Source organism: Homo sapiens, chromosome 11 (genome assembly GCF_000001405.40).
Source record: "Homo sapiens chromosome 11, GRCh38.p14 Primary Assembly".
NCBI classification, from domain to species: Eukaryota; Metazoa; Chordata; class Mammalia; order Primates; family Hominidae; genus Homo; species Homo sapiens.
The window spans coordinates 110,588,959-110,614,509 of NC_000011.10; the positions used below are offsets into that span (position 1 = coordinate 110,588,959).

General features: G+C 37.8%; 1 protein-coding gene across 7 annotated transcripts in view; it reads right to left on the reverse strand.

Annotated features, from left to right (window-relative positions):
- Positions 1–25,551, reverse strand: part of ARHGAP20 (Rho GTPase activating protein 20) — a 136,147-nt gene that overhangs the window by 11,916 nt on the left and 98,680 nt on the right. For 6 of the 7 annotated variants that reach the window (NM_001258418.2, NM_001258416.2, NM_001258417.2 and 3 more), the window contains 5 exons: positions 22,351–22,428; positions 20,026–20,092; positions 17,603–17,791; positions 3,019–3,197; positions 1,690–1,851 (listed from right to left, as the gene is read on the reverse strand). In NM_001258418.2, coding sequence (NP_001245347.1) covers positions 1,690–1,851; positions 3,019–3,197; positions 17,603–17,791; positions 20,026–20,092; positions 22,351–22,428 — 675 coding nt within the window. Of the gene's footprint in view, positions 1–463; positions 928–1,689; positions 1,852–3,018; positions 3,198–17,602; positions 17,792–20,025; positions 20,093–22,350; positions 22,429–25,551 lie in introns of those variants that run through there. The other variant, XM_005271628.4, reaches the window with a different exon arrangement.

Consider the following 25,551-nt stretch of genomic DNA (forward strand, 5'->3'; position numbering starts at 1 on the left):
CTACTCAGGAGGCTGAGGCAGGAGAATGGCGTGAACCCAGGAGGTGGAGCTTGCAGTGAGCCGAGATCGTGCCACTGCACTCCAGCCTGGGCAACAGAGTGAGACCCCGACTGAAAAAAACAAAAAACAAAAAAACACAAGCTTTACCTTTGTAAACTAAGAGATATATATAAAAAAGGAAAATTTATCATGCATAAAAAACCTTGGCATATATATCTGGCTACATATTTTTACATATGCATATTTGTATTTTACATATACATATTTTTATTGTGTTCCAGGATTGAAGAGTAATCATAAACCCTGTGCAAAACAGATGAGGTGACCTTAGCTTCAACCCTCCAGTTCTCTTGCATGATATCTAATTGCAAAAATTTATAGCAGGGTTTAAGAGCAGATATGGCTTATTTATCCAGAAACATCTGATTGTATATAAAGTCATGAAGTAACATTCTGTAAGCACCTGGGCACTCAGCTGGAGTAGGGGTATGCAAGAATCTTCTTCACCATATTTTCCTTAACTTGGTTTTCACGTTTCAGCCTGAGATACAGGCTGGGGCCTTGTCTCGACCCCTAGCTCTGGTGCATTCCAATCCTTTGGGAGGTGAGAGCCTGACACAGGTCTGCAGAAGATACTGCTAAGGTCAAAAGCTCTGCTTAAAGCTCATTTTGACTGTAGGTGTTTCCAAAAATGTAGAGCATTTCCAAGAATGTGGGGGCAGAAAACATTTTAGAACTCTCTATCTCTGTAACCATGGATGTGACTTAAGTAACAATGGGTAAAGTGTAAGAACCACAAAGAATGCCAAGTGTGGTAAAAGTAAAGGAAAACTTAGATGCTGAAGTCATTCTTACTCCACTTTTAAAGTAAAAGGCATTAGGCTGGGTGCGGTGGCTCACGCCTATTATCCCAGCTCTCTGGGAGGCTGACGCAGGTGGATCACCTGAGGTCAGGAATTAGAGACCAGCTGGGCCAACATGGTGAAACCCCATCTCTACTAAAAATACAAAAATTAGCTGGACCTGGTAGTGCAGGCTTGTAATCCCAGCTACTCAGGAGGCTGAGGCAGGAGAATCACTTGAACCCAGGAGGTGGAGGTTGCAGTGAGCCGCAATCATGCCATTGCACTCCAGCCTGGCCGACAGAGTGAGACCCCGCCTCAAAAAAAAAAAAAAAAAAGGGAAGGCATGATGATTATGAAAATAAATGGAATTTTCAGTGATCTCAGCAATTTTTTATTTCAATTGTGAGCCAAATGTTTATTATGGCAAACTTCTTTAACTGTTTTCAAATGTCTAATGTTTATATTTGAAAACTGCCTTCATTAAGAAGGTAGTAAGAGAGTGAGGAAATCATAAGCAGGATGTCTGTTTTGGTATACGTGTGTTTTTTGATTTTTTAAACTTACAATTTTTATTTTTTACATGGAGTGGCAGAAGTAAAGATGAGATTAGTGTAGGATAAAAATTTAAAAAGCATATCTGATATGTCATATCATCAGTGGTAGCTTTTAAAGTCCAATGTTGACTTTGTGAAATGTTTTTATAACACTTTTTAGTGTTAAAAATTATGTTAATAAATCTATTATGGGTCTTTGCAAATAGAAATAATGTTCATAATGAAAAAGTAAAACACCCTCTTTCTCTAGAGCTACACCATGGGGTGGATAAAGGGATGACTCTTCTTACCTTTAAGACAGATGCTATCACAAAAATAGATTCACAGTCTAGGTGTACTTCGACTCCAGAATTCAATTTCTCTTTTAGTTCTCTGCAGGATTTCACATTGGCTGATTGCCTGAAGATACCTTTGGTGAGAGGTCCTTTTTGATTAAGAAAGAAAAGCATATCCTATGGGGAAGCAAAGGAAAATAAACAAAATGACACTTCCACACACACAAGGGAATGTACACTTGCCCTCTTTGGATGCCAGAGGCTAGGGTGCGCTAGGGTAAAAGCACTGAAGGATTGGAGCTAAATAAATGGCCGGAAAAATTAAAGTCACCTTTTTGGAGAGTGGAAGGGTGGTTACCAGGGGCTGGGGGTGGTGGTGAGCAGGTTGGGGAGATGTTGGTCAAAGGATACAAAATTTCAGTTAGGAGGAATAAGGTCACATGATCTATTATATAACATTATGATTATAGTTAATAATGCATTATATTCCTAAAAATTGCTCAGAGAGTGAATTTTAAGTGTTCTCTAATTTTCCTTTCTATCACTACGTCCTGCTTACAGTGTAAGAAGAGAATGGGTTTTGAAGACAAGCAATCCATGGGATCCAAAACCTAGTTATGCCACTTGGTTACTGTGTAACATTGAGTGCAGTACTGAGGCTTTAAAACAATTTGTAAACGGATGAGATGATGACATGATAACAACTATCCCCTAAATTTGTTGTGAAGAATAAATAAAGTGGCTAGACAAGTGTCTTGCATTTATAGATGCATAATATAGTATAAAATGCCATATATGTAGTATAGTGCTTGAAGGATACTAGAGACTCAATACTGCTTAGCAGTGATTATTTAAAATATCAACTGGAGATAATATAAACCCAGTGGCTTTCATCTGACCCACTCTATATACAAAAGATAAATAAATGCCAGGGAATGTATCTTTATGCGTGAGCACTTGAAATATAAATAAAACGGATTTAAAAACCTAAGTGTAGGATCGAGTAGTTTCTGTTGCTACAATGATCAAAGAAGACTTTGAGAACAATGTGACGTTCAAGAAAGGATTTGTGAGGAATAATGTGAATTCTGTCTGCAGGGCAAATTCTGCTTTATCTGAGAAAGCTTACGTGGCTCTTTCCTAGGTTATTTCTTCCCATTATGTCTTCCTTCTGATTTCACAGTAGCTAAATCAGATTTTGTTATTTGGAGGAATAATAGTGAAGATTCTTAGCCAAAGACAGTGGTGTCTATAATTTTTCCATTTGGGGACAGATTTACCTCGCAGAGCTCTCCTTTCCCAAACACCCTTTCCCATCAGTTTACAGACCAAAATGAGCCTTACCAAGACAGGTTTGGGCAGATTGTCATTCTCACAAATATTTGGCAGAGAAATTCCAAAGAGCTGTCCTGGCATAGGTGATGTTGGCGATGAGGGCAAGTTGTCCAGGTGAGTGCTAGAACCTCGCCAGAAGGCCCAGTTTATGATAGATCTTCTCCTTTTAAATGTCTTATGACCTGAATCTAAGGAAGAAGTGAGCTTATTAGAAAAATGAGTTTCATTCACTTAATCTTATTTCTATAACTTCCATTTTATGGTATGTTTGTTGCTATGGCTCAAAGAGAAAAAGATGCTAATAGATGGCTTTTGTCATTGACAATTCAACCTATAAAATTTCATTTCGTCTTTCATCTTATAAATGAAAGATGAATCAATGAAGGAAGAATCAAATGTTTGGGTTCTTCTCCCATCCAGTTTTTGGACATCACTGGTCTGTTTACTTGAATTTTGGCACTACATTTTCAAAGGTGAAAGACTCCCTTATTGAACTGTAACACCTAAAAGCAAAAAGCGTTTCATACAAACCCATTTATTTTCCCATTTTAAAGATGAGACTAAGCATACAAAAAGTTTAAATAAGACTATAGTTAAATACTGAGAAAAAAGAAAGTGTGAAGAGGGAAAGATAAAGGTGGAAGGGGAAGTAGGAGTAAGAGAAGGACAAGATGAAAGCGAAAAGGAGGAAGAAAAAGGAAGAAGGAAGAGAAGGGAAGAGGGGAGGAGAAGAAAGAGGAGAGGAGTTTTCTCTGTTAAGATGTTCGTTAGAAATAAAGAATCCTTTAGTATCTGACATACTACTCTCCTCTTGAGAACACAGACAGGAAGCTAATGTCCTAAAGTTTTTTCCTTTCTTTGCAACTGTAGACTTTTATGTTTCTTTTCAGTTCTTGACTTTAAAGTATGTTTAAGGAAGCATGGATGGACACAAACATGAAGTTTATAATCTACTAGGGATGAAGAACTGGTCAGGGTGAGGAGAAAAGCAAGTATGTTAATAAATATAATGTCATGAGGTAGGAACAAAGTACTAAAAGCATTCAGAGGAAAGTAAATCACATCTGGTCAATAAGATGGAGGGGGTGATCTTGGGGGTGTTTGCATTTGACTTGGATTTTGAATGAACAAGATTTTAACAGATAGAGCATCTGGCATAGTGCCTTCCATCTAGTGAGTACTCACTAAATTGTTATTAAACAATAATTGAAATTGAGGAGGGATTTAAGTAGAAAAAGACAACATGAAAAAGAACAGGCAGAAGAAAGGTCAACAGTAAGGTATGGTTTTATACCATAGTGCCGAAATGTTTTTGGTGTCATTTGTGTCTAATTTTAACATGAAGTTTAACAGGTTTGCTTATGATTTAATACATAAAAATCTCTTTAAGGTTACACTTTTAAAAGTGGCTGACCTCTCTGTCCCCTCTTCCCAACAGATACACACAAGTAACAACTATAAACTCTGGAAAACCAACCAAAATAAACCTAGCTGAAGGCACTAAAGAGTGAGCAAAAGAAGGTAGATATAGAGGTCAAAGTGTGACACTTGGATGAAGGGAATGGCATAGCACTGGGTGAGTTTTCTAATCTTACAGCTTTTAGGCTGAGGGCAGGCCCCCGGGTAATGGGGGTGACTAAAAGTTGAGAAGAAACCTACTCTTACTGGCTTGAAGAACTAGAGAAGGGAGACAGAGGTACCCACAGCTGGAAAGTGAGGGGGGATCCCAGAAAGAAGAAAGCCTGATAGTGGGAGCCCTAAATACTATGTATAAATTCTGCCCACATCTCTGGCTAACCCCTGAAGCTTGCATTCACAGGGGCAGATTCAAAAGAGCTTGCAATTAAGGTTGACAGAACTGAGATTTGAGGAGCCATAATGCCTAGGCAGTACCCACTCATGGCTTGACTCCATTTTCTCCAGTGAGAGTGCACGATAATTGGTAATTAGACTGGCTGTGTGGCATTGTTCCTTATGACACCAAACTAAAACAGAGATGTTCCCAACATTCCCTGATAATGAAATACTGAAGGATTGATCTTTTAAAGGACACAGTCAGCAGTCTTGTCATTTCAGTGGAATTAGACATGTTAATTCCAAAGAAGTCTTCTATATTGTTGGCTACCTTAGCATTTTATTTCCTTAGAATAAACTACTTAACTAAATATTTAAAAAGCCAAGTTGTGGGAGGATAAATAAGTAAGCAACGTTTTACCAAATGGCCTTAAGATCATCATCTACACATCACTTCCTTGAAATACAGCAAATGCATCATCAATGTACACACACAGGTATGTAAAGCTCTTTGGCTCTAGAGTCAGGAGCCTCTCTGCACTCCCAGTTCAGAAACTTATTTGGACCAAGTTACTTAACCTCTTTTCTTTCCTCAACCTTAAAATGTAAAGGATATGAATTAGCCCTCAAAGGCTTATTGAAAGGATTGTATAGGATAATCTATAAAAGTAGTACTTTGTCACAGTGATCTTGATGAATGCTGTCAAGATACCAATCTCCTCCCCACAAAGAGGACAACCTCTCTGCACCTACTCTCCATGTGGTTTCACAGCCTTCAGCAGGTATCCATATATGAAGGAATACCAATACTCCACTTAAGTAAAGCAGTTTCTTCCTGCTCTGACATTCTCAAACTCCATTATTTAAAAAAACAAAACAAAAACGGAAAAGGACCAACCAAAAAAAGTTCAGGACCAGATGGATTCACAGCCGAATTCTACCAGAGGTACAAGGAGGAACTGGTACCATTCCTTCTGAAACTATTCCAATCAATAGAAAAAGAGGGAATCCTCCCTAACTCATTTTATGAGGCCAGCATCATCCTGATACCAAAGCCTGGCAGAGACACAACAAAAAAAAAAAGAGCATTTTAGACCAACATCCTTGATAAACATTGATGCAAAAATCCTCAATAAAATACTGGCAAACCGAATCCAGCAGCACATCAAAAAGCTTATCCACCATGATCCAGTGGGCTTCATCCCTGGGATGCAAGGCTGGTTCAACATACGCAAATCAATAAATGTAATCCAGCATATAAACAGAACCAAAGACAAAAACCACATGATTATCTCAATAGATGCAGAAAAGGCCTTTGACAAAATTCAACAACCCTTCATGCTAAAAACTCTCAATAAATTAGGTATTGATGGGACGTATCTCAAAATAATAAGAGCTATCTATGACAAACCCACAGCCAATATCATACTGAATGGGCAAAAACTGGAAGCATTCACTTTGAAAACTGGCACAAGACAGGGATGCCCTCTCTCACCACTCCTATTCAACATAGTTTGGAAGTTCTGGCCAGGGCAATCAGGCAGGAGAAGGAAATAAAGGGCATTCAATTAGGAAAAGAGGAAGTCAAATTGTCCCTGTTTGCAGATGACACGATTGTATATCTAGAAAACCCCATGGTCTCAGCCCCAAATCTCCTTAAGCTGATAAGCAACTTCAGCAAAGTCTCAGGATACAAAATCAATGTACAAAAATAACAAGCATTCTTATACACCAATAACAGACAAACGGAGAGCCAAATCATGAGTGAACTCCCATTCACAATTGCTTCAAAGAGAATAAAATACCTAGGAATCCAACTTACAAGGGATGTGAAGGACCTCTTCCAGGAGAACTACAAACCACTGCCCAATGAAATAAAAGAGGATACAAACAAATGGAAGAACATTCCATGCTCATGGGTAAGAAGAATCAATATCGTGAAAATGGCCATACTGCCCAAGGTAATTTATAGATTCAATGCCATTCCCATCAAGCTACCAATGACTTTCTTCACAGAATTGGAAAAAACTACTTTAAAGTTCATATGGAACCAAAAAAGAGCCCACATTGCCAAGTCAATCCTAAGCCAAAAGAACAAAGCTGGAGGCATCACGCTACCTGACTTCAAACTATACTACAAGGCTACAGTAACCAAAACAGCATGGTACTGGTACCAAAACAGAGATATAGATCAATGGAACAGAACAGAGCACTTAGAAATAATGCCACATGTCTACAACTATCTGATCTTTGACAAACCTGACAAAAACAAGCAATGGGGAAAGGATTCCCTATTTAATAAATGGTGCTGGGAAAACTGGCTAGCCATATGTAGAAAGCTGAAACTGGATGCCTTCCTCACACCTTATACAAAAATTAATTCAAGATGGATTAAAGACTTACATGTTAGACCTAAAACCATAAAAACCCTAGAAGAAAACCTAGGCAATACCATTCAGGACATAGGCATGGGCAAGGACTTCATGTCTAAAACACCAAAAGCAATGGCAACAAGGGCCAAAATTGACAAATGGGATCTAATTAAACTAAAGAGCTTCTGCACAGCAAAAGAAACTACCATCAGAGTGAACAGGCAACCTACAAAATGGGAGAACATTTTTGCAACCTACTCATCTGACAAAGGGCTAATATCCAGAATCTACAGTGAACTCAAACGAATTTACAAGAAATAAACAACCCCATCAAAAAGTGGGCAAAGGATATGAACAGACACTTCTCAAAAGAAGACATTTATGCAGCCAAAAAACACATGAAAAAATGCTCATCATCACTGCCCATCAGAGAAATGCAAATCAAAACCACAATGAGATACCATCTCACACCAGTTAGAATGGTGATCATTGAAAAGTCAGGAAACAACAGGTGCTGGATAGGATGTGGAGAAACAGGAACACTTTTACACTGTTGGTGGGACTGTAAACTAGTTCAACCATTGTGGAAGTCAGTATGGCGATTCCTCAGGGATCTAGAACTAGAAATACCATTTGACTCAGTAATCCCGTTACTGGGTATATACCCAAAGGATTATAAATCATGCTGCTATAAAGACACATGCACATGTATGTTTATTGCGGCACTATTCACAATAGCAAAGACTTGGAACCAACCCAAATGTCCAACAGTGATAGACTGGATTAAGAAAATGTGGCACATATAGACCATGGAATACTATGCAGCCATAAAAAAGGATGAGTTCATGTCCTTTGTAGGGACATGGATGAAACTGGAAACCATCATTCTCAGCAAACTATCGCCAGGACAAAAATCAAACACCGCATGTTCTCACTCATAGGTGGGAATTGAACAATGAGAACACATGGACACAGGAAGGGGAACGTCACACACCGGGGACCGTTGTGGGGTGGGGGGAGGGGGAGGGAAAGCACTGGGAAATATACCTAATGCTAAATGACGAGTTGATGGGTGCAGCACACCAACATGGCACGTGTATACATATGTAACAAGCCTGCACGTTGTGCACATGTACCCTAAAGTATAATAATAATAAAATTAAAAAAAAAAAAACTGAAAAGGAAACTAAACCTTTTCTGAAGTCCAGGAAGGGGTTCCTGTACGTCTAGCAAGGTCAATCTATGCAAATATGTGTTTAATATATATGTGAATATGTATTTAATATATATGTGAATATGTATGTTGAGTACTTGTGCTCAGTCTTGGTTTGCTCACATTTACTTGATTTTTATTTATTATTATTATTTTTTTAGAGATGAGGTCTCACTATGTTTGCCCAGGCTAGTCCCTGCCTCGGCCTCCCAAAGTGCTGGGATTACAGGCGTGAGCCACTGTACACAGCCCTGATTTTATTATTTCTAAAACAATCAAAATAAAAACTTATTTGATTTTTTAGCTTTCACACATTTAAGAACAATGCTCTGTCAAAAGTTATATACTCAGCTACCCTATGAGTGTTGACAGAGGATAAAGTAGAAATTGAGTCCTTTACTTTATCATAAATACTCTCAGCTGTAGCCATGCCTTTTATTATATATACACACGGCATTCAACCTGAGCATTCAGGATTCCTCTGGGACTGAGATAAAAAAATTTCATTAAAGTTTACTTTCTTACAGAGCTTTTAATGCACACATCTTACTTTCTAAATGTCACAAAGGCTAATGAAAAAACATGCTATTGCTATAAGAAATGAGGGATGTAAATGTAAAGCAAACTAAATTCAAGTAAATCTAGTTTTCCTAAATGTCCCTGGCAAGATTCAAGTTAGTGTGTTTATGTGCTTAAATTAGATAATTGAATGTTAAAAATTACAGTTCTTAAAACGTTGTGTTTATATAATAATAACCATAACAACAAAAAATGTTAGAAATTCTACTCCGGCCATGTAACTCCCCAAATTAAGAATATCCCCACCTTTTTTTTTTTTTCCCCTAGAGTAAAAAACACAGAGGTGAATACAGGGTAAACAGAAAAAAAGATGTATCCCATATTTTACCAGCCACCATAAAATTTCAATTCCAGTTCAGTCCTAGGTCTGAAGCAGGTGTGGAAAGTGAACCTACTTTGGGCATAGAGCTGGGAGTTCAGGACAGACTGGAACTCCAAGAACTACTTCAGACTACACTCAGAAAGATTCCATTTAATTCCAGAACTCTTCCATTCCACTCAAGTTTTTCCATACTAGGGTTGAGTAAGCCATTCAATCTTTCATTTAATTTCTACTCTGTTCTATACACTAGACTAAGCCCTGGGATGAGTTCCTAGGTCTTAAGAAGGTCATTGTCTAAAGAGACAAGTAGATTATATAAACAGATAATCATAATGTGATTTTTTAATGTGTTACACTAGAGATGTGTATGAAGTGCTAACTGCCTGAAGGAACAAAGATTTCCTAGAAGTAGTGATGGCAGCAGCAGGCTGTCTGGAGTGGCTGCTGCCATCACACTGGCTGTAGTGGGGAGGCATGGCCAGGGCTGCAGGATTCATGAAGCTGGCAGGGGCTGGGGACAAGCAGGAGCCCTGCCCCTTCTGAGTTGGGGTGGGAGGTCCCTTGGGTGCCACTGCAGACACCCAAGCCATGGCTGTGGACCCTGGAATCCCTGGGCTCTCAGGACCTGGGAGCAGGTGGGAGCCCTGCCCTCCCGGGTGGAGGTGCAGCCATCTGAGTTGTGGTTGCAGGCCTGAGCTTCCTGCTCCACAGAGCAGGTAGGAGCCTTGCCCTCCCAGGAGCTGCACCTGTCCAAGTCATGGCTATAGACCAGACCTCCCTGTGCTCTTGTGTGGGGACAGGTAGGAGCCCTGCCCTCCCAGGTGTAGCTCCAGTCACCCAAGTCATGGCTGCAGACCCAGGCCTCTTGCTCCATGGAACATGCAGAGCCCCATTCCCCAACACAGCTGTAGCCAACCAAACTGCAACTGTAGACATAGACATTTCTGTACTCTTGGGGGTCCTTAAGGCCACCCCTGCCCTCACAGGCTCAGAAGTGCCTGCTACCATTGCCTGGCTTCTCCCTGCTGTCGGCACCTGCTCTGATCATGGTGCAAAGTTGGGTGAGTCCAAGTGCTGTTGCAGCCCAACCAGGTTGTGCAAACACTTGGGGCAGTGCTGACATGCCAGCCCCCTGGTGCCTTGGACTGCTCTGGACTTTGGGTGCCAACAAGCATAGGAGGGAAGCCGATCGGGGGCTGAGGCAGCTCGGTGCTGGCCTGCAGGTGCCCCTTTGCACCTATAGCCTGGGCGCCATGAACAGCAGCAGGAGGCAGAAAGGTTCCTGGGCAGAAGGGGGTGAGTCCCTGGTGAGGCCTACTTTTAGGCCAGGGAGGGCCTGAAAGCTGGGGGCCAGGCTGCCAGTCCTGTGGACTGGAGTGGGAACTTGTGGTGCTTTTTCTGGGTCTGCCCATGGCTGCCCATGGACAAATAAGCCAGCTCTTCCTCCCCTCTGAAGTCCATAAAACCCCTAGGCTCAGCCAGAGCTGAGCAGATGTCCTGACAACCAGCTGCAGAGAGGACTACCCACTACAGGGCCTCCTTTCTGCTGACAGCTGCAGATGTGAGGATGACCAGCCTGCAGAGAGGAGCTACCCACTCCAGGGCCTCCTCTCTCAGAGCTGCACAGATGATGAAACAACCAACTACAGGGAGGAGCTATCCTCTCTGCTAGGAGTTGGACATCTGATGGGATGACCTGCCTGCAGAGAGGAGCTACCCTCTTTGCTAGGAGCTGAACACTTGATGGGGCACCCTGGCTGCAGAAAGGAGCTGCCCCCTGTGGGTCTCCTCTGAGCTGTTATATTGCTCAATAAAGCTCCTCTTCATCTTGCTAACCCTTCACTTGTCTGTGTACCTCATTCTTCCTGGTCACAGGATGAGAACTTCAGATCCGCTGAATGGTGAGGCTGAAAGAGTGGTAACACAAACAGGGCTGAAACATGCCCCTTGTTCACCACACTGTGGGTGAAGAGAAGGAGATAAGAGCTGCAGCCCTTTGGGAAGCCCAGAGCTGGGAGCTCCCTGAGCAGGGCTGTGACTCCCACTTTGGATCCCTGCAGTTCCTGGCATCTCCAAGCTTCTGGGCACCACTGTGTTCCCTAGTGCCAGCCATAGAAGCTGCTGGTGGTGTGCCTGGTCTGGCTGCAGCCTCACAGACAGCCAGCACCCATGCAGGCACGTGCAGCTGTCCGCTACGCTGCAGCAGCTGGTATGTCTGACTGTGTGCAGTGTCCAGGCCCCATGCTCACTCACACACCCCTCGCCACTCCACACCTGACTTGCCTCTGGCAGGCATGGGATCCAGGCCAGTAGTAAGAGCCAAGTGCAGCCTGCAAGGCCTAGTGGGTGGAATGAACCCAGTGGCCTGAGCAAATCTTGGGCAAATACATCACTGTCCACAGAGATTTCTGGCCAGAAAAGTGACAACCCCAAGGTGTTGTAACAGTAACATATAACAGTAACAGTAACCTGTAACAGTAACATGTGAGTTGGGCCTTGAGGTCAGAACTTTGAATGTCTATATCTTGAACCTCCACAATTAACACTAGAGCTTTCCCACTGGGGATCAACCATTCCAAAGATGAGTTACAGATCTAAGTCTCAGAGGGGGCCTTCTGAAAGATGTATTGCTGTTATGTTTTCAGTGTAAGGCTATTTACTAGGAGGCCTTCTCTACACTGAGGCAAAAATTTGGAAAAAAGATTGGCAATGACTATCTCACCAATGGTTATGCTGGTTAACAGGGATATTTTCTGAAAGCTAATTAGAGAAAGCTTTATATTTAGTTTAAAAATAAAATATTGTTCTCAGACAATATTCTAACAGAAATCATTAGATTTTAACCCTTTGTTTCCAGGGGAGAAAACAAGACATGATTTTCCACATAAGAGACCATGCAAAATACCCATTTCCTAGGACTAAGCAATTTAAGAATTTATGAATTCTGTGCATTTTAAATATACAGGCCACAAACAAGTGTGAAAGATTCTGACTATAACAACTAGCACTTGGTAAATAAGGCAAAATTCTATGTTTATACTATGTGCCAAAAAAGAAGTATTAGCTCATTTTTCCCCATTAAAAGTCAGGTTAATAGCTGGTACATATGTGAACAAGGGAGCATGAAGATACTCTTGCTTAAATTAGAACATGACAAAGATGTAACAGGCAAAGGAATGAAGACAAGTCAAATAAGATGGCTCTGTTACTTGTGTGAGCTCTGTTATAAAGTCTGGTAGAATATAGAGTCTTTAGCTGGCATGTTTTTAATTATGCATATTTTAATCATTCAATCAGAGGGCACAAACTATGCTCCCTGGACTAAATCTGGCTTGCCACCTCCCTTTGGATAACTTGTGAGCTAAGAATGGCTTTTATATTTTTAAAAAGTTGAAAAAAATTCAAAAGAATAATATGTAATAACACATAAAAATTATATGGCATTTAAACTTTAGGCCAGGCATGGTGGTTCATGCCTGTAATCCCAGCACTTTGGGAGGCCGAGGCGGGTGGATCGCCTGAGGTCAGGAGTTCAAGACCAGTCTGGCCAACATGGTGAAACCCCATCTCTACTAAAAATACAAAAAATACTAATTTTTGTATTTGGTGGCAGGCGCCTGTAATCCCAGCTATTCGGGAGGCTGATATAGGAGAATCGCTTGAACCTGGGTTGCAGTGAGCAGAGATCGTGCCATTGTACTCCAGCCTGGGCGATAAGAATGAGACTTTTTCTCAAAAAAAAAAAAAAAAATTTTACTGTCTAGAATAGTTTTACTGGAACATGACCATACTCATTCACGTAATGTCTATGGCTGCTTTCACTTCACACTCAATAGCAGAGTTAAGTAGCTGTGACAGAGATGGTATGTGGTGCGCTCATTACTTTGCACTGCTGCTCAGGGCACTACAAATTGCAGTGACCCTGTTACATCTTGACTGTTTCAAGTGCCACATCTATCAGGATACCACAACATCTTTTTTTTTTATTACTTATTATGTAAAAACAATAAACGAAAAGTGGACTTCTTCTAATGTTAAATTTTTAAGGCAAAGTGAAATGCAGATAACTTTGTTATGGAACTAATGGCAAAGTATTATGTTTACTGTGCAATGAAGTAACAGCTGTGGTTACAGAATATAATATGCGTCAATGGTTAACAGACCAATGGTTAATCACAATGCTCCCAACTCATAAGAAAGCAATGGATCAGAAAAATAATATTTAAAATGAAATATATCATTACTGCAGAATTCCCTCACAAAAATAAAAATGAGGCTACAATAAAAGTTAAGTTTCTGAGTGGCTCATTTGTTAGCCAACCAAGGAAAGCCATTTAACCATTTACCAATGGTGAACTGATTAAATCTGTGTGCTTGCAGTAGATTAAGAAAGGGGTCCAGAGAAACTAGATTTAAAATTATCAGCCTTTTAGTGAGAATAGATAATTGAATAGTTGAGGGCATTAGGAGTAATATCAATAGTAAACTAAAAAACAAGGCAAGTGACTTTCCTTGGTTCTTGATGAGGTGAAAAATGTTACCAATACCACTAAGTTGTTTAGTCAAGAAGTCAATGCTGAGTTTGAAGTGACTGAAGAATTAACCTTGAATAGTCTGCATAGAATAACTATGGGTAAGAATATTTTCAAAGCATTTGAGAAAACAATAATTCAGTACAACCTGAAGTGGAATCTGCTGTGTTATATTTCATGGTAGTGAAAATGTGTGGAGCAGAAAAAGGTGTAATTTGAGAAATTTAGAAAGCTTGTGAAAATTTGAAGTGTTTAATACCTAAGATTATTCATTGTATTGTTTTGATCAGTGGTACTACCTGAAAAATATGGAAATCTATCAAGTGTTACTGGATCAGTACTGTCAACAGTGAACTTCATTTACTCTCATGGACTTAACTATTGTCAGTTCTGTGAATTTTTGTTAAAAATAGAGGCTAAAGGTTAGCCTGCATTATGCTATCACACAGCATTTCAATGGCTCAGCACTGCTAGAGTTTCACAGTGATACTTTGAACTCAGGGCCCAGATTGAACTTGTTATGAATGAAAAGAACAGCCTTTAACCTCTATTAATGGACACTAAATGGCTTTGAAAGTTAGTTTTTGCTGTAGATATGATGATGTTTCATAATAAATCCAACCTAAAATTACGAGGCAAAACAGTGCTTACATACAAAGTTTATACTGTAGTAATTTTCAAAACAATGAATGTTTAATTACAAGTAATATCAAGCTGCTTTATATACTTCTTGTGCCGTTAAAAGTTAAAACAAGAAGCAAGATCTTGATTCACATACAAATGTACAGCAGATATGTTTTTTGAGTTCAAACTACAGTTCGAGTAGTGTTTTACCAACCTCGATGCAAGAGCAAAGGCGATTTCCATATCTCAAAATCCATTTCACTATGCAACTGAAGAGCTTCCACCTAACCTTCAATTGAAAGTGATTATCTGCAATGAAATGATATGCTAAAAGGCAAATATCAAGAGAAGAATCTAACAAAATTCTACAAATGCCATATCAAAGAGACATATGCTCAACTGAAATTAGATGCTTGTAGGATGATATCAGTATTTGGCAGTACATATGTGAGAAAATATGTTTTCAAAGATGAAATTAAAAATTTTATTATAGATCAGAATGTTTGTACTCAAATTTTGATGGCTAGATCACTAACTTTAAATTCCAACTAAGTGAAATGTTATCCCTCCAAGAGAATTCACTTCTCACTCATTAGATTTGTATTACATAAAATTGTACTCAATTGTTGTTATATTTTGAATTCTATCAATAAAATTGGGTGGAAATTTGTTTTTTCTCCTGTTATGTAACACTTACATAATATCCTTGATTTGCAATACTGATCTGCAAAATTTTACTATCTGGCCCCTTACAGGAAAAGTTTGCTGACCCCTGATCTAAATCACTGGTTTCTAAAGCAGTTGTTCATCAAATTCTTTTGTATTTAAAAAGAAACAACATTAGTGGTTCACCTGTAATTTTTTACACAGGCATTCTGATGCTCTCAGCTGGCCCTTGGCATCACTGGTCTATAGTTATTCCATCCCTAATCCCACTTACCATGAATCATTTACAGCTGGAATCATCTAGCCTCACTTCCAACAGAGAGAAACTAAGCAGAGGATGCCTACAATTTAGTTGAGCAAGTCATTAGCAAAACTGGTTAAAACCCTTAGGATTCCTGATTTCTGATTATTATAAAATAAAATTGACAAGGGACCCAGAAAAATAGTTTTGAAAAACACAGGTGCAAAGGTAGAAGAGTAGAAGATTATTATTCTCCTCAGCCTAGTTATAAAGATACCCTTTATAAAAATCCCTGCCTTCATGGAGCTCACATTTTAGTGGATGGAAAGACCATGATATCTCAGTGTTCCCCTTTCAAAATTACCCAAGGGGAACGAAAAATTTTAGAGTCCAAAACCTCAATTTACTATCATAGAGAGATGTCTGTTAACAAATTCAAGGTAAATTTGTGTATCTGATGTTGGTAAGATGAGGGAGTCCCTGATGACTGATCTACTGATTTACCAATGACTTTGGTAAAGTATAAAGTTTGAGGCTAGGTCATCAACAGAAAGTGACAGGCTGGCTGTGCATGTGGGTGGAAATTTATATAAGACAGTTGACTCAAGTAGTTGAAGAATGCTGCACAGAAACAAAGTTAAGACTACTCTCACCCAGTATGAAGTGCCCATTAAGGTTGGTCATTAATGATACCAAGTAGTCTTGATGCTATATGATTTCTTCCAACAGTGCACAGAGTTAATCTAGAGATGAGATTTTAGGAGATGTATAGGAATGTAGAAAAGAAGGTCAAAGAAACAGAAGTTTTCTGCTAGACAGGGATGATCACGATAACCATGGAATTCAAGTTGCATAAGGAGGAAAGTAAAGATGGACACGGGGACTAACAGATGGAGAAAGTGGTAGAGTTTAGTAGGTTTGAAAGAAGCAGAAGGAATCTGGGCTTCCAGAGATGAAAAATAGAATGAACAAAGGCTGGCTGAAGAAAACAGATGGTGGTTACAACTCTTTTTGTCCAATAAAATGTCAAAATCTTGAATCAAAGGGGCGAACAGGAAAATAAGTTTCACAATGCTGTTACAATTTCTTGATGCAGTTGTTTCAGAAACTATATGTTTTAGTATGAAATATAAATTAGAAATTAACTTTAAATGCATTAGAGAAGGTTCTGTTTAAAACAATCTTGGAGTGTATTAACACTTAAGGCAAAAAAAACTCTTTACAATGAATGCTGATTTAATTCGTTTTCTCTAAGTTTAGATAGCTACATACAAATGTTTCTTAAAGTACAGTTGTTCTGCAATGAAGATAAAAACAGTATGAGCTAATTTTTCATTAATGCTATGTCAGTTGAATCACACACAGATGAAGAATTTCAGACTTTCCCCTGGCACTCAGATGATGCCAATAATCTGTCAAGTGGCAGGAAGGTAGCCTCAGTGATCTCTCAAGGTCTACGCCATCCCTTTAAACTTATTACACCTGGGGTCCTAATTTGGTTCTTTGCAAAACGCAAATCCATGGGTCTCCCAGTTGGTTCACATTGACAAAGGTAGCTATAGAAATTCACAATCAATTTTCTACTATCTCACTCATACTTTTTGATATCAATTTTCTTCTGTTGCTTATACAATCTTCCTTTCAGACAGAGCTTAAAGCTCAAACTTGGGTTAGGGCAAATTACAGTTCTCTTATATTGAAGATCACTTTTATCATTCCAGAGTCTTTATTGTGGGGTGGGTAAGAGACTGCTATGTTCACAGGGAATTCATATTAGATTAGTAGACTAAGGAGAGACTTCTGTAGAAATCATCTTAGTCTTCACATACTTATCAGAACTAGAATCCAGGTAGGGCATCACAATCTTCTGACACCCATCATTGACAGCCTCCTTTTTATAATGCAACCATTTAGGGAGAACACACAGTTGGAGTGTATTACAGTACAAAGAAGGCATTGAAGCACCTGCAGCACTGCTTAGTGCCTTTGACTCTGCAGTAGGAATAAGGTTAAAGGGGAAAGAATGGTGAAGAAAGAAGGAACAGACTGTATTGCTACTAGCTGCTGATTCCTAGTCAATCATGCCTATTGCTGATTTATAAAACCATCTTCTTCTAAAAGTCCATCTTTCCTTTTCAAAATACTTAGCAAATTCCAAGAAAAAATACCTCATCTGGCGGGAGGTTTGAGTCTTTGCCTTTGTACTAAATTTATGTTCAAGAACGAAAACTTTTGCTAGAAGCAACTCACCACTCAGTTGCTGGGCTGCAGCCAGGCGGCTGGGCTTCAGGATGAACTGGCACTGCATCTCTCGGGGGAGCTGTTCCATAAGGAAGGGCTCCTGGAGGTTGAAAGGGGTGGTAGAGTCCTTTGATCCCGGTGTCAGGAGTGCAGAGTCTCGAAGATGGCTCATTTTAATTCCATATGGATATTCATGCCCTACACAGAGACAAATCTAAATGTAGACTTCAGGCTGACTGGTACTGTTAGCATGTGTACTGCAAAATAGGAATGTACTGCAATTTACTCCTGGGACTTTTGGCATAAAGAATCCCTTTGTTTGACAGAATGATCATTTACACTCTTACAGTTGGAGACCAGTATGCAGGTGGTCCTACCAAAGTAGTTTTAAGGAGAGGAGGGAGAAAAAGAAGAAAAAAATCTTTAAAGATTATCTTGTTTGGAATGAATGCACAGATCAGTTTGCGAGTTCCATAATGCTGACTTTTCCAACACGTGCATCTAAGGATAACTAAAGGTATTCTATTGTCTCCTTTGACATTAACTAGATATATAAATTTTCAGCAAATACATGTCCTTGCTCAGTCTCAAATCTATGATTTAAAATATTTTTTCTACCTACCACAGAAGTATAAGGATCTATATATGTCAAGTATCACTATTATTAATATTATTTAACACAAGATGTTTGCCTAAAAACATTTCATTAATTTTTATTAGTTACACAGTTAGTTACTCAACTGGTTTGATTTATGCTTCCCTCTCACTGCTGCCCTCTGAGATTGATGTTCAGAGGCAATAATCAGAAGGAAGACTGCAGGGGATCAGAAACACAGAAACAGATGCAAAAACGAATATACAGACTATAAAAACTAAACCCTGGACATCTGACTACAACATGATTTTAACTCTTTAGTATTCTAAGTAATTACGTCCTTTTAGTGTAATCCTCAAATACCACTGATGTAGATTTTTTTTAAGTACAGAGAGCAAGTTCCCTTCTATTCCTGACTTATCACTAAATGTAACTCAGTGAACTCTTACTCTTCCTTTTCAGCTGGTCTAGGCATACAATGTCAATGTTTCATTAATATCAAGTACTACAGCAGCTTCCAGAGATTAAGACAGAAAAAGGCTTCTATGACAATAATAAAACAAAATCAATTTATCAAAACAGCCGGCAGCTAATCTACAATTGAGGTTTGCAGAACACATTAAAATAATGATTAAGCATTGCTGCTAAATCATGGGACAATAATGTCCTATGTCTCATTGTTTTTCAGTAAGAGCTAGTCAGGAAGCTTGGGGCTGTCATAAGCCTAAAAGTTACCATCTACATAGTTTTCATTAATATATTTTATTAAAACAATTATTTCAAGTGTTTGATTTTTAATAACTTTATTGCTCATTGACTATTACAAAAATGACAACATTAAAAACCTGAAACACAGTCAATTTTGTCTTTAGCTCTGTGCATGATCACTTTCTGTATTCTAAATCTGAGCATATACATTTGTAGAAAAGTTTGGTTTTAGATTACTAAGGTCACTTGAAACACTGAATTACACAGTTGTGACCTCATAGACAAATGAAAGAATTACATGAAATAATGCATACAATATGCTCTGCACGATGTCTGGCAGGTAGTAAGCATTTAAAATTGTTAACAGAAATTGTCATCATCATAATTATCATCGTCATCATCTCAAGATCTGGTAAAGATACTGTCCTTTATTTTAATTGTTCTATTTCTGTTAACCACACTGAATGAAATTACTAATCAAGAAATATTTTTTAGCTAATGACTTAAATAAGGTAAAATGGAACATATTTATCAATAATTCCTCATGACAAATGCTGGAAAATCTGACTAGAGAAATAGCAAAATAATTTAATTACTGAAGTAGCAGATAATAAAGACTTTTAGGAGTCTAAATGGGTTAATCTGATTTTCTTCATGATTCTTAGGAAGGTTCTGGGTACATAGCAGGTATTACATACTCACTGATGAATTAAGATGCATGGTTGTATTTTAGGTGGTCTTCCATAGAGGCACATAGTAGGTAAGGGAACAGGAAATTAAAAAACTGAATATGAAAAATAAATGTATGGAGAAAAATAAATACCAACACATATTTCTTTCTTAGAAAAAAATTTAAAAAGGTTTGGCAGGATAACTCTTGTTTGTCAAATGAAAAAGCAGAGCGAAAAGTTTATATTTCTCTTCCCAACTATACCATTAGCTGCTTGAATGAGGAGATATTATTTGTCTAGCACATAGTAAATCTTTGATAGATCTTTATTAAATGAACACCATGAAATTTCATATTTAATAGTATTTAAGCTTAGGACCATATGACCAATTCTCGGAGACACTTAGAATTATAATTAAAACACAATCAATGCTATCTTAGACTTTTGCAAAAACTTACCAATGAGTGGGTATGGAGCCTCTTCTTTGCCAGAATTGACCCACAACTGGTAATCTCTCTCAGAGCCCTTAGAGATAAAAGAGTTAAATGTCACAATAAATCTTTCACATTTGATACTTGAATGAGGACACATTTTTTTTTTTTGGTTATGTGTCCTCCCTCCTGCCCCCTACCCAGTGATAGTTAGAGATCCATGAACTGCAGTGGAATCAGGCCTTCACTATATAGGTAGCCTACAGAGTGTAAAATCATAGCTGGGCCCCTTTATAAAGGAAAAACAATCTTCCTGGCTCTTAAAGGCTAATCTCTTCTTTAGAGTCCTGACTTCTGCTATGTCCCTCCACTTCTCAGAGAATATTGGGCTTAACCTCCAACATGCCCCTGCAAAGACAACCTTATTATCCAGAAAACCACAAACACTGCTATGTCTATGATTAAAAAGTAATATCTCAAAGGCTGATTATTAGCTTAGCTGCTTCTGAGCAGGAGAATGACCAAGAAGCTTTGAGGAGATAAGTAATTGGCACAACCTCTACTGGCTTTAGTTTAGGCAAGTTCAGTCCTGGGGAAAGAAAGGACAAGAATTCTGTTCTAGAGAATAGGCCCAGTCATAGAAAACAATAAAATTGTTCACTAGCAGAATTATAATCCAGCAACATTATAAATCCCACTTGAAAGAAATACTAAATTATACAGATTTTGCTGAATCCTCTAGGAGGGATGATAAAACAGAAATGTTTTAAATGAAGCTAGAACAGGTAAGCCTGTTGGCAATATTTCATATCCTTGCCTTTAACTTCTAATAAAAAATCATGGCCCTGCCCTTACAATACCATAAAAACCATTCCACCCCCCATACTCAGTTTATCTGTTACTTCCTCCCTGCCCCATCCCTCCTAGTCAAAAAATGTGTTGTAAATAGGAAGGCCAATCTAATAAAAATCCTTTCTTTTTATATAGTGTCTGAAAACACTGTAATAATAATCCCTTAAAACTGGTATAACCAAATAGTCTCAATTCCTAGTTAAATTAACAGTTTTTTTTGGTCTGAGGAGATTAATAATTTTATCCAAAGGAAAAGCATAGATAAAAGAATGAATCATGTCAGTAATTCCTCTACATACCTCTAAAACTCTCTACTTTCTTCCAAAATATACTCATATAGCTTAGAAATTAATGGAGGTGACTACTTTACCCAGTGCATATATTTTAAATGTAATCAAATTTATATTACAAAATTTAACGAATTATTAGATTATCCCAAATTCTGGTTGTCGTGAGTTCTAAAGGGCTTACTATAGTACTGTGTATAAGCAAATCTAAACACAATAATACTATGGCATGTCTTAAATATGTGTCATGAATTGCTCTGGAAACAGTGCTCCTTGAATGATGTAACGTGACACATATTTAAGACATGCCATAGTATTCTACAATATTATTAATTGTATTTAGCTTTGCTTATATACAGTGTACTTTCATATTTACAGAGAATCTCACTCAAGGAATAGTGTTTTTAAGTGCTTCCTTTAGTTATCATCCTTTTGAAAGTCATTCCCTTTAATGAAAGTACTCATTGTGTGGTGTTTATACAACTGGTAGCAAGGTGATGAGGACAGTCTTCCAGTTCTCTTTCCTCTACCTCATCCTCAAATGTTCTAATCTTCTCCACTCCTAAAATTCTCAAAAATTCACCTCTATCGCAGAAAACAGAAAGGTACAAAGCTAAAAGTAAAACATGGAAGAATGTGGTGTGCACACTAAAGCTCTCGAAATCCATGATCTAATTCAAAGCTTGTCTTTTTATTTACCAATTTATCAGAGGTATTAGCCATATCATCCTTAGGACTTGTAGCCAGCTAATATGGTTTTATGAAAAATTCTATTACAGAGCAAATTCTTCAGAATTCATCATCCTAAGACTGATTGAGTCTTGGGATAATAACAGGATAATTATATAGGGGAAAAGTCAAATTGTGACCAGTAGCAAGGGGAGAAGGAGGATGAAACTTTATTAAGAAATTTATACCAAAAAAATTTTTGTATATATATACAGCATATATAATAAAATACATATTGTCACTTTAAAATTATAGTCCAATCTTATAATTTTCAGTTCACACAGATTTTAAAATAGGAGAACAGCAGCACCCATATATTAATCATATTAAAGCTTTACTGTTCTCATTTTCTATATTTTGGGGAATAAAATATGACTTTGGTATCTCTAATAATCAGCTGTCTTATGATGGAAGGAAAATACTTACATAAATTTAAATAATCAAAGTTTATTTTTAATTAAGAATGTCTAGCAGAATAACTTACAGTTATCCCTAGCATTGGTAATGACATGTTGATAACTTCATTCGCTGTATCTGAATTCATTACTGTTATAGTTTTAGACTGTAGAAAAAAAATAAGAAATATAGCTATAAAATAATGAATTTTAAAACAGGTTAACAAATAATCATTGTCAAATGATTATCGAAAGGCAAATATTGATTTCAAATGTGGACAAAGTCAAGCATAAGATTTAGGTAGAACACAAACCTTTGATTATAATTTGCTTTCATTCCCTTATAAATTATGCCCTCTAATAAAACATTTCTCTTAAAGGATGCATGGCTTAAAGAATATAAAAGCTTAAGCAAATAAGAAAGACTAAATATATTTCAGAGAGAGTACATGGACCCAGCTTCCAATTAAAAAAATAGATCAGTGAGGTTGGTCCTCTGTCTTATTTCCATAATTGTATTTCCATAAGGCAATGGGTAATAAAAAAAGGCAAGAGCTGAATCTCTTTCTATTTCTTCCTTAGTAGTGTTTTCACAATACGTTTTATTTCTTTGCGTGGTATAAAGTCAGGTTAGGTAAAATCAGGATAATAACTGGTTACAAAAGACATTTAAAGCTTAGAATTTTAAAAAGTCACTATTGGGAACTTTCCATGTGTCACACACTGTGGCCACTAAGATTTTAATTGTTGAAATCTTTGGAGGACATAAAACCAATGAGTCTAGAAAAAAGAAATGAAAATTTTAGAAAGCTCAATTCTATTATCAACTCTGCCAATGAATACAATATCTGTAATAGCTCTGTGCTAAACTATATTGAATACTTTTACTTAAAAATAGACAATTTGCAGCAAACAGTAAAAGAGTTAACAAGCTCATGCCTGTAATCCTAGCACTTTGGGAGGCCGAGGTGGGCGGGTCATGAGGTCAGGAGATCGAGACCATCCTGGCTGACATGGTGAAACCCCGTCTCTACTAAAAAAAAAAAATACAAAAAAAATTTAGCTGGGCGTAGTGGTGGGGGCCTGTAGTCCCAGCTACTCGGGAGGCTGAGGCAGGAGAATGGCTTGAACCCGGGAGGCGGAGCTTGCAGTGAGCCGAGATCGCGCCACTGCACTCCAGCCTGGGCGACAGAGCGAGACTCCATCTCAAAAAAAAAACAAAAAACAAACAAACAAACAAAAAGAGTTAACAAGATTCTGAGATATCTATAGAGATCGCTGAATTCCAAAATACATTATTTAAATATAAAACAATGCTACATTGTAAAAAAAACTTGCTACATACATAGGTTTTACACATGAGAATTATAAGATTAAATCAGCAATTAGGGCTGTGTCCCTGACAGAGAAGGATTAAATAGCACAAAAAAGTAGCATAAATACAAAAATGATATAAAAATAAAGGCAAATGAAATCTGATAATTCATTATTTATCCTTCCATTAACAGAATTTCTTCTCTATGAGTGAATTATTTGATATGACAAATTGCCTCTAAAAATTGTTTAATTGAATTTTAATTTAAAAAAGCATTTAAAATGCACAATTTCAAACTGTGTTCCTGGTAGCCCCAAGGATTGTGCAAAATTGTCTCAGAGTGAAACAGGGAGTCTTTGGAGCACTCAACCCAGTGTCTGTCTTCTACCAGAGTGTCATAGGTATGAGACATACTGGGCTTTAAATTGAGAGATAATTTTTAAAAAGGCTTCTGATTTTAAAAAAGTCTAAAATTTTTTCCATTTAATTTAAAGAAACTCTCCCATGAAGTCTTATAACGTGAAGAATCTATCCTCCCAATAACCTGGTTTCTAAGATAATAGTTTTTCTTAATACTAGGCACATATGTTCAAAACATAATTATAGAAAGTATATTTTTTCCTACATGCCTTTCCAGTATACAAAACAAATGAATTTCAGCAGATAGAACTCTTTGGCTAGTAAACAAATAACAGACAAAACTGAAAATGTGGCAATTTTGTTCCATATTAGCATAATTTACTGACAAGGTGTGTATAACTAGACGGCAAAGACAAAGAATGCTTCCCACACATGCACTCCTATTTGGGGGAATCACTCTGGAGGCAGGGCTCCCTGAATGAGAGTCTTGTTATGAAAGCTACTTTAGACAGCAAAGGACAGAGTACGTCACATCATCCTTGACTTAACCAGGGTACTAGTGATAGAAACAGAGCACCCAACCTGACCATATATCTTATCTTCTCTTCCAAAATGACAGTGGGACATCAGTCCTTTCTCAAGTACACACTTTCCATATACCGAAAAGAAAGTGTCAAAAAAAATTTAAGGGATTTTCCAGGAAATCCTGAATGTAACCAACTGCCACAACTGAATCAAAGCAGACAGAAAAAAACAGTGTTTTTGTTTTGTTTTGTTTTACATTGCTACAGGAGATCTCTGTAGTCTCATACTATAAAAATTTGAGTATTTCCCTCAAGCAGTGACATCTGGCATTCAGGAGTTGGTCAGAACATTTGCATAACTTTTGCTTTTGCCCAAAACATAACTATTTTGCACTACATATTTTTCCACACACAAATAAAACTATTCTGTGTGATCTAGAGCTGCTGTGAAGTATGACAGTTAATAGTATAAAATATTCATAAGTTTTCATATTTTTCATAATTGATAACATTTATCTCTTGTACTATGATTTCAGCCATCAAATTATACATAATAGCTGGGGTTAAAGACTTAATATTTATTTGACCAATATGATAAACACTGTGAAGTAGTAAAATGCTGATCCCTTAAAAATGTCACCTCTCCTAGATCATCCTCCTATTAACCTAAGGGATTCAATCCCTAAAAACTTAAAGAATGAAGAACTTTTCAAAACCACTTTCTGCTTAAGAGTGACAAGTTGGGAAAAAAATTGCTTAATAATAATAGGAAATACTCCTTGTGGAAACAGCTTTACTACAAGCCTCTGCAGCTGCTATTGAAAGGATTCAGAGAAATATTCATGCCAGAGGGAGGACAGAGACATGTCACAAGCAATGTTCTTTCCAAGCGTAAAAGTTTAATACCGTAGTTCATATGAATTTCTCTTGCTTCACTTTCTCTAGGGTTTATTTTTCATATATATGAAGACATACATATAACCAGGAAAATGCATTTTCCCCCTGTGGTATTTCTAAATGCCTACCTTCCATAGCACATACACAGTTAGCCTGCCTGCCTGCCTGCTCTCTCTCTTCTTATCCGTAGTGTT